At 39.9% G+C, this 10,201-nt stretch overlaps 1 annotated feature.

Moving 5' to 3' along the window:
* Nucleotides 1,413-1,914: an enhancer, noted in NCBI's record as "NANOG hESC enhancer chr1:168594433-168594934 (GRCh37/hg19 assembly coordinates)". NCBI's record gives its function as "activates a minimal SCP1, AML or CMV promoter by ChIP-STARR-seq in naive H9 embryonic stem cells {active_cell/tissue: H9 hESC(naive)}" and the evidence as "EXISTENCE:reporter gene assay evidence [ECO:0000049][PMID:30033119]".

Below are 10,201 nucleotides of genomic sequence, written 5' to 3'. Positions count from 1 at the left end.
TCAGCCCCAGAGACTGAGAACCAAGTCTTCTGCAGTCCCCCAGCTCAGTCTAACAAAGAGGTACTGAGAGTTGTGGCTAACTGAATTTAACCTACTCTATGCCAGGCAACGTGCTAAGAATTAAGGTAGAAGATACACACGTGGTTTCTGCACTCAAGGGATTTGTTTGCAGTCTGATGAAGTAAATCTTATTATTCTATTTAGTGAAAATAAACCAAGACTCATCCAAATTACAATGTTTCTCTTGCATAATCCAAAAATCATTTGCATAAATATATCCTGAGATACTTTATTGAAATGCATATCTTCCCGAGCCCCATTTCAAACTTCTGATTCAGAATATCTGACAGACAGGACTGAAAACCTGTAATTTAACAAACTCCTTGAATGACTCTTATACCTATTAAGCTTTGAGAACCACTAATACATCAGATCGTGAGAGTAATCACCATACAGAAGTCCCATGCTGCCCCTTTTTTGACTGAAGAGTGGAAGGCAACTTAGAGTGTTTCACCATCAGTGCCTGAGTCAGTCAGAGGCATTATGCTAATGAGCCCACAGCTGAAAATAAAGAAGTTAGGAAAAGGGACACACAGCATTCAAGCCCTCCAAAAGGCATTGAGGAAGTCAAGAGATCTCACTTACTACCAGGCCAGGCCAGAAGTGACTCTCAACGTACAGCGCATTCCTAAATGGCACTGGGGAGACGGGAAGCTTTGCAGCTCAGAGGACCCTTTGCAGGTCCTTCTGCATATACTGCTGAGGCCCTTATCCTTTTCCTCTGATGTTGCTGATCTCTAGATCAAGAATAGGCAGGTGAAAGAACACGTGCCTTGGCACCTGTGCCCAGTGCCTGGAGAATTTGCTGGATCTGCCGCTCTGTTACCCTTTCTCTTTCCCTAGTGCACCCCCCAGAGCTGGTTCCAACCAAAATGGTAGCACACACATACATGCACACCAATGTTTTCACCCTCTGAAATAGTCATTTTATCTCCATATCAGTTTTCACATCTCTCCTGCCTTGCCCCCAACTTCTCTTCTCTTTACTGCTATCCATGAAGACTTTGGGATCAGAAGACCTGGATTTGAGTTTGCTCTCCCATTTGATAACTGAGTGACCTGGAGTCTTCCCTGCAACTCCATTGACTCTCCATTTCCTTGTGTGCAAAGTGGGCATGATAATAATCCTTGTAAGATTATTGTGAGGATCAGACAATGCACAGGATATGAGAATAGAGCTTTGTAAACCTACAAAGTGCAACAGCTATTACACTGGAGAAGAAACTGTTATGCTGCGAAGGGCACTGACTACATGATGGTGACACTGGTCACAGAGACTGGCCGAGGCTAGACACAGGCCCCAGGAGCCGCTGCTGTGGAATGACCATGAAAGTCTCCATCATAAGTGATGGTGAATAAGCATCCACCAGTGGCTCTCATGGGCAATCTGGAATACATTCAAAGAGGTCAGCACTTAAAAATGGGGAAAAGAAAACAAAATACTTGGAGGGAGAAAACAGCAAGGCAAAAGCTGAGCAGGCAGAATCTGTTAAAGAGAAAGAAGGTGGCAGGAGGGGGAATGACAGACGGTATCAAAGGCAGCACCACAGGGAAGCACGAGAGGGGAAATCAACAGACTCCTGCTGCTGGGTGGACTAGAAAACCAGGGTATTCAACCTACACTAACCTAGATGGCCCAGTTCCTAAACAATCATCTCTCCTTTCCTTCATGACACTATGCAATGAAACTTCTATTCTCCTCAATTTATTGTGTAAATGTAAAACAAGCCTTGTCACTTGAGGAGTCACCAGAGGACCTCTGACTTCCAGCCTGAAAAAGTCTAACACTCCAAAGGTAAATTTTGTTCTTCAAAGTGACGATATTCTTCTGTTGGGCCCAGAGCCCTTGGACCATTTACTAATAGTAACGTTCTAAAAAAAAAAAAAAAAAAAAAAAAAAAGACAAAACCTGAAATTAAAAAAAGATATGCCTAAATTGACTAAATATTTAAATATGATCACAGCTAGATTTGAAAAGTGATATTCATGCTGTGGAGAAGACACCAAGAAAATATTAGTAAGCTTTTTGTTTTGACTTTCAGATCTTCCTGAGGAAACTACATTTATCGCTGTCTCAGAACGATGTATAAAAACACATAAAACAAAATCTCCTAAGAAGGGATCCACAGATTGGCTTTAGGAAATGTATAAACTCCATCAAATTGTACAGAGAAGTTGTAATTTACATGCATTTTTTGTCCATGAATTTCATCAAATTCACCAAAACATCTCACCACTGAGTTAGATGTTCCTAAACACCTTTTTTCTGGGACCCCTTTGACCTCTGAATTTATTTTACAAATTAAATTGTCTTTCATTGGTCATCCCCAAAGCTTGAGTTTCAATTCTAAATAATGTCACTCTTTTCTTGCCTCCTCCTCAAGCCACTTTTTTTCTTTCTCTTTTAATGTGTCCCTCCTTTATTGTTCCCTTTACTTCTTTTTCTTCTTCTTCCTTTTCTAACTCCCCTCTAATTTCCCTCTCTCTGCTATCCTTAATTAAGCCCACCAGTGACCTCCGTGTTTCTCTTCTCTCAAAGCTAAAGAAGGTGCCACTGCCCGTTTAAAATTTTCCATCTAAGCTGGGCACGGTGGCTCACGCCTGTAATCCCAGCATTTTAGAAGGCCAAGGCGGGTGGATCACGAGGTCTAGAGATTGAGACCATCCTGGCCAACATGGTGAAAGCCCGTCTCTATTAAAAAATACAAAATTAGCTGGGCGTGGTGGCACGTGCGTGTAGTCCCAGCGACTCTGGAGGCTGAGGCAGGAGAATCACTTGAACCCAGGAGGCAGAGGCAGAAGTTGCAGTGAGCCGAGATTGCGCCACTACACTCCAGACTGGCGACAGAGTGAGACTGTCTCAAAAAAAATAAAATAAAACAACAAAAATAATCCATCTAAGTCTTAGTCCTTCTCTACCACACTCCATATTCTTTTACATTTATTCCTACCCTTTCCCTCCATCAAATCCCTGGAGGCCTGGAGTTACAGTGTGAATCATTGCAATATTAATAGCATTGTCCTTCATGAGGGAAGATGACATCACTAATCCACCATCACTGGGACATGTACCCTTGATCGATTTTCTCCACAGAAGGAGCAAGCGGGTATTGCTATCTTCCCATGCCTCAGCTCATACCCCTAAAAAAAATCTCAAGAATATTCTAAGCTGAGATTTGGGGTACAGCAAGTAGACCCAGAATAGAAAGAAACCAACTTTACGGTCTCATGAGATTTTGATCTAGGCACAAAGAGTCTCAGGAGGGCCACACCTCAAACTAGGAATAACCAGAATCTTTCAACTGAAATTGATTTTGTTTATGCTGAGTTAGATTTGATTATGCATCTCTAATTTGAAAGAATCAGCTGCACGGTAATGATGAAGTTACCAGTTCGTGAGTACATAGTAGGTATATTACATCATCTCTAATTCTCTCAACTGTCCTTGGTAAAATGATATTCACAGAGATTAAATAACTTGAAGAAGCCACATAGCTAGTAAGTGATAAACCCAGGATCTGAATCTACTTTTCTTTCCATTACACTACACTGACACATGTGTTACAACTTCAGTTGCTTTCTTCTTGGATGCTGATAAAATGAGCCCAGCTGGTGGCAGAGAAGAGCCCAGCAGCAGCTTAAGTGACTAAGAGGTCCTCCTCTGGCTGACCTTCCCTTTCACCGCCACTTTCCTACACCAAGTCTGAGATGCTTTCGGTAACTGGAGATCTGATGACTCATGCCTGTCCTCAGAGTTTTAAGTGATATTTTCGTAACATGCTATCTTATCCCTGGCAAGGAAGTAGGATCCATTTTTTGCCTGTCTTTACCGAACTCTTACCTGCTCTAATTACTTTGATCAGCTGGTGCAGGAAGTAATTGAGACAACCTAAGAACAGTTTGTTTCCTTTGTCATGCCTGGACGATGATCTTTTCTTGATTGGAGTGAGCCATGACATACTTGTGCTCCAAGATCAAGTGAGACTAGTAAATGCTGGTCTTCTACTATGCTCTCATTGCATTTTGTATATCCCCTCCTTCCTTGCAATGCTATGCCAATTGCTGAAATGGAATTTCAGAAGAGGTCTACTGACTTCAGAGACCATATGTTCAGTCACTACTCTATATTGTTCCCAAAATTCTGATAGGGAAAATTTGAAGAAAGAGGGGGAAGGAGTTTCTTCTAAATGTAGGTCAGATTCTCTGCTTTGAAGATTAGAAAGAACTCTCAGTTAATTCTATAAATATTTGTTGGGTTCTTACTGCATCCTAGCCTCTCTGCTGAGTTGTAATAAGTCTATAGGTGTATTAAAAAAACAAACAAACAAAATATTAACTCTAGCTCAAGAGACAAACATACAAGGAAAAAGACTTTCAAAATTAACCGAGGGGGAAATTGATGCAACAGAAGCATGAACAAAGTGTAACAGAAGCCCAGAGGAAGAAACTAGGAGACTCTGGACAGGATTCTTTCAGAGGCTGGTCCTGAAAAGGTGGAGAGGATTTCTGTACCTGGAGAAGAACAGGAAGGATTTTTCCTACTGAGGATTCACCAGAATTATTAATAATCATACCTAACATTGTTGAATGCGTACTATATACCTGACACTGTTCAAGGTACATTCTATATATATTGATTTATTTAACTCTGATAAAAATCTCAAAAATTAGTATCATTTTCTCCATTTCACATATCAAAGAAGTAAGGTTCTTGAAGGTTAAGCAGTTTGGTTAAATGCTTGGGCTGGCTGAGGGGGTCTTTGGCTCAAAACCATGAACGTTGTTACTACCTGATGTTATCTCCACATCACGAATGTGGATGTCATCCTTGTACAGGAACCACATTAATCAATCTGTTAATTTTTGTTGTTTATTTAAATAAGATTTTCTTCATAGCCTAAAAAAAGACACAGAAACAAGAAGCAGCTCAGCACTAGCCAAGGCATAATAATAAAATAATAACAATTATTTATCAGTACTACTATGTTTTCTAGTATTTACTGAGCTTTACTCTGTCAAATAATGTTCCAAATACCTTTTAGGTATTAATATTAAACTACCCTATAATGTAATTTCTATTAAAATTCCCAGCTCACAGAGATGAGGACATCAGTACATATATAGGTGACAGGTTACAGGTTGATCTCCTATCTCGTCTACTTTATGTGCTTTATTTTTGGGTGGGGGGAGACCATTTTATCTGAAGCCTATTTTGTTTGTCATAGCCAAACTTTACTCCTTTCCCAGATGCTTCCTTCCTTGACATTCTTTTTTTCTTAAATGAAATCTCCAGATCTGTTTACCTCTGAATTGCGTCTATTAGTGTCCCTGGGCAAATGGATTTCATTGCAGTTCAAACCAGACTCTGCTGACTGAGGATTTCCAGGGTCCCTAAGTTCCTTCTGGTTTAAAGGGCAGTGGCTTGACTTGCATAGAATGTCTGCTAGACTGGCTTAGAACACATTTGAATGCTTAAAATACCAGTACAGTCAAAGGCCAGCCTGCCAGATGAATGCTGACTGGCAGGAAGAGCAGACATTCCAAAGAAAGTGCTGTCTGTCTTCAACCCCCAGCTCTCATCCAGGACTGAACTCAAAGCTTGGAGCAAACAGCCAAGAGCTTCAGGAGCTTTGTGTGCTGCAAGAAAAAATAAGGAAAAGAAGAGAGATGTTGGTGCACCCTTTCCTCTCTGAACTTCCACCCCAGCTAGAGAAAACACACAGCCAGGCTAACTGCTGTCACTTTCAACGCACAGCCACTAACCTCCCTGAGTCCTTTTGTGGTATCCTCTCATCCTATTATATATCTCTAATTCATTCAGTCTCCCTCTCTTCTAGACAAGAATTTCACACCTTTTCCTCCCACTTCAAATCTACAATTCCTCATCTTATATTCGCAGCTTATAACAGAACATCCGTGTGCTCCCATCCACCAGTCTACCTATATGCACTGTCTTAACTCTTGTTACGACGCATGAACTCCTTGCTTCTAGCTGAAGTCAACCCCGATATTTGTGCTCTGAGTTCCATTCCCTTTTACCTTCTCAAAGATTTTGCTCCCTCCAATCTTTCATCTCTTTACTCCATAATGAATTCTCCTATCTGCATACAAACACACTGTTGTTTATCTCGTTTTAAAACCCATCTCTCAAACCCATTTTTGCCTCCAACTATTGCCCTGTTTCTTAGCAATCATCGGAAGTTGTCTATACTTGGTGTCTTCCCTTCTGTTCTTTCCATTCTCTCTTGAACCCATTCCAATCAAACTTTCCCTCCTAGTACACCTTTAAAACTGCTCTCGCAAAAGTCTTCATGCCCTCTCCCCACCACCTACAACACATACACACATAGTCAAATCCAGGGCTTAATTACCATAGGCCATTGCACTTGATTCTGCAGCATTTGACACTCAGGATCATGGTTTCCTTCCTGAAGTACTTTTTTTCTGGAATATCTTTCTTTCTTGGCCTTCTACCTACTTCATTTGCTGCTCCTTCTCAATCTTCTTTGTCAGTTCCTACTTATATGCCTGCCATCTAAATGTGTACAGGACCAGGATCACAGGCTCTTTAGATGTTCAGCGTCTATACTCACTCTCTTGGTGATCTTCCCCCAGTCTTGTAGATTTAAATACCATGTCTATGATGAAAATTCCCTAATTCATATGTCTAGCTTAACTCCTCCTCTGAACACCAGCCTTGTAAATACAATCGCTAGTCAATATCTCCACTTGGATTTTTAATAAGCATTTCAAGTTTATCATTCCAAAAAAATAAACTCTTTAACTTTCCATCCTGTCCTGTAACTTTTAGTTCCTCAGGCCAAAACCTTAAAGTAATCCTTGATTCCTCTTCTCCTGTTAACCCCCATAACAACATACTATGTCAGTTCTTCTCTGAAATTATCACCAGAATATGACCACATCTCACTACTTGGACTGCTATCACCTTGGCTCCAGCCACCATCATCTTTTTCCTGCATTACTGCAAAGCTGCCTCACTAATCACCTTTCTTCCATCTTTGTTCACTTATAGCCTATTCTCTAGTAAGAAATCAAAGTAATTTTTTTAAATGTAAGTCAAATCATGTCACTCTCCTTCTCAAAAATCTCTGTACTTCTTTTGTCACTCAGAGTAAAATCCAAAGTCTTTACCATCTGCAGTGGGGCATTAAGATAATCTGTATGACAGCCCAACACTACAGAATAGCATTGACTGGCATTTTCCCATTTTTCTTTGTTCAGGTAAAAACCTTGGAATCACCTTTGTCTCGTCCCTTTGTCTCACACTCAATCTCTACTTCATCTGTTCTGTCAACTCTACCTTCAAAACATCCACCATATCTGACCACTTCTCATTATCCTCATTGCTACCATCTTAGTCCAAGCCACCATTGTATCTTATAAGCACTATTTTAATAACAATCTAGTAGGTCTCCATGCTTTCCTACTCGCACCTTTCAGAGTAGCCCTGACAAAACATAAGCCACATCATGTCACCTCTCTGTTTATAACCCTCCAATGGCTGCCCAGATAATAAGGGTAGTTTCAGAGCATTAGTGGGAATGAAAATCTTATTGGCTGAAGAGTTAATTAGAGATGATAAAGCAGGGACAATGAGGATAAACTAGTCTTTTGAGAAATGTGGCTGTGAACAGAAGGGCAAAACAGGACAGTAGATGAAGGTGGCTTAGACCTGCCAGGGATTTTTTCCATAAGAGGGAACAGATGTGAGCATACTTCCATGTTAAGGGTAGTTACTAGAAAGAGAGATTGAAGATACAGTAGAGAGAGATATTGAATGGCCTCAGAGGAAGCAGAAGGAGATAAGAACTTGGAAGCTCAGTTGAAAAGGACAGCTTCAGACAGAAGGTGGGGTTTGCATTCTAATGAGACAGAAAAGGAGGAGAGGACTGATGCAGTTAAGCTTGCAGGTAGTGGGGGTAAAAGCCAACGATGATGTGCAGACTCAGCAGATTAGAAAGTTCCACTTTCAAAACTTTCACTTTCATTGACTAAGTTAATGCGTTTTTAAATCAATATCAAATTCTTAGGAAACAAATACTATTACATTAAAACAGAATTCAATTCTTGATGGATTTTCTTTCTAACAAATAATATTCCATATTATGGCTGTGGGGCACATATTCTAATTTAATATCAGGGCTCCATTATATTAAGGGATATCAATGTTTTGGAGCTCAGAAAAGAGTTCCAGTGAGTTCATTTTATTAAAAACAGTAATGCCATTTGTTTGCATTGCTATTTTAAAAGGTTAATCAATAAAATAATTATTTAAAGTTATTTAATTACAAATAGAAGCTTAAGAATGCCTAAGTGATTCTCAAAAAGATTATACAGCAATCAGTGAAAATCAGATGAGTGTGCTGATGACTTAGTTCATCGCTCAGCTGAACAAGGCTAGCTACAATGGAGGCTTTCACTATTATACAGACTTACACTGATTCATTCTTAGCTATATAGTATTCGCTTTATACCCTTAATTAACATATGCCCATAATTAGCCATCATGAAGACAGACAGCTTAAGTCATGTTACTATTGAAATATAACGAGTTAATAAAGAGAATAAAGAATTATAAGAAGTTGGCAGTTTTGCCCAAGGATGCTCTTCACCAGATACAGGTTGAATGCATCTACTCAAAAATCCTCTTGTAGTCCCGGTCTTGGCAAATGTTATGCTACCCATTCAGTCTTTAGATGCAGAAACCTTTGAATCTTTTTATCCCTTATTCTCTCTCAATCCCCATGACCAGTCAACCAATCAGTCATGTCACCAAAATCTGCAGATACTTCCTCCTTAGGATCTCTTTAGAATCCCTGAACCTCTGCCAATCTCAGTTCAGGTCTTCAGCACTTTCTATCATCCCTCCCTAATACACAGCTTCCTGGGTCATCCTCCAACAGTCTGAAAACATACCACTTCCCTTGTCCTGATTCCAGTTCTTGGAGAGCTCCCCAGCGCTTTCAGAGTAAAGCTCAAGCTCACAAGTAAGATTAACCCAGAAGGCTCTGAATGATGTGACTACTGCCTAACTGCTCTTCTTCCTCCTCATTTTACTCCATCTTTGTCCCATCTCAAACGTATTTATATTTCAAATAAGACAACAGTGAATGCCTCATAGTACAATGACATAACCAAATGCTATTTCTTTTACTGGAATCCCTTTCTCCTCCCTTGTCTAGCTAACTTCTATTTATTCTGCAAAGCAAAATTCTGAATTTGATATATGCTTTGAGGGGTTTCTTTTCATTTTTGTGTCAGTAGCAGAAATAGGTTTGCCCAAATATAATTCTACTCTTCTCTCTGATCACCCTCAATTCAACAGTTCATATGAAAAAACTGGAGAACTGGGCTGGGTGCAGTGGCTCACACCAGTAATCCCAGCACTTTGGGAGGCCAGGGCGGGTGGATTCCTTGAGCTCAGGAGTTTGAAACCAGCCTAGGCAACATAGTGAAACACTGTCTCTAAAACAAAAACACACAAAAAATTAGCTGAGTGTGATGGTACATGCCTGTAATGCCAGCTACTCAAGAGTCTGAGGCAGGAGAATCACGTAAGCCCGGGAGGCAGAGGTTGCAGTGAGCCGAGATTGTGCCACTGCACTCCAGCCTGGACGACAGAGTGAGACTCTGTCTCAAAAAAAAAAGGTTGGGAGGACAATTAAATGCATCTTTGAAGACAGAACTATGATGCAAATAATTTGTCAGGGTAAAAGGATGATAAGGCTAGAGGTTGAATTATAGAATCACCTTAAAGGAGGATACACACTAGAAGAACTGAGTATCCTACTCTGATATAACATAACATGGATTTTTCTTCAGGCCTGCACTAAGCTATGTTTTTATCCATTCTTGAATTGCTTGAATAATTCAACATATGGGTTAACCAAAATTTGTTTTTTTTTAAAAAAAAAGTAGATGTTATTATACACACTTTAAAAAAATAATAATACCACAAAATATACAAGAGTCAAACAATAAGAAGCCTATTTTTTATTTGAAAATTCACAAGGCACTATAAATCTCATAATCACCAGATTGTCGATACTCAGAAAACATATGTTAAACAGAATTCCCTGTATGATAGAATGACGCATGGGTACTGTATCTATGTGTCACA

This window comes from Homo sapiens, chromosome 1, assembly GCF_000001405.40.
Source record: "Homo sapiens chromosome 1, GRCh38.p14 Primary Assembly".
NCBI classification, from domain to species: domain Eukaryota; kingdom Metazoa; phylum Chordata; class Mammalia; order Primates; family Hominidae; genus Homo; species Homo sapiens.
This window is presented reverse-complemented; position numbering and strand designations above follow the sequence as displayed.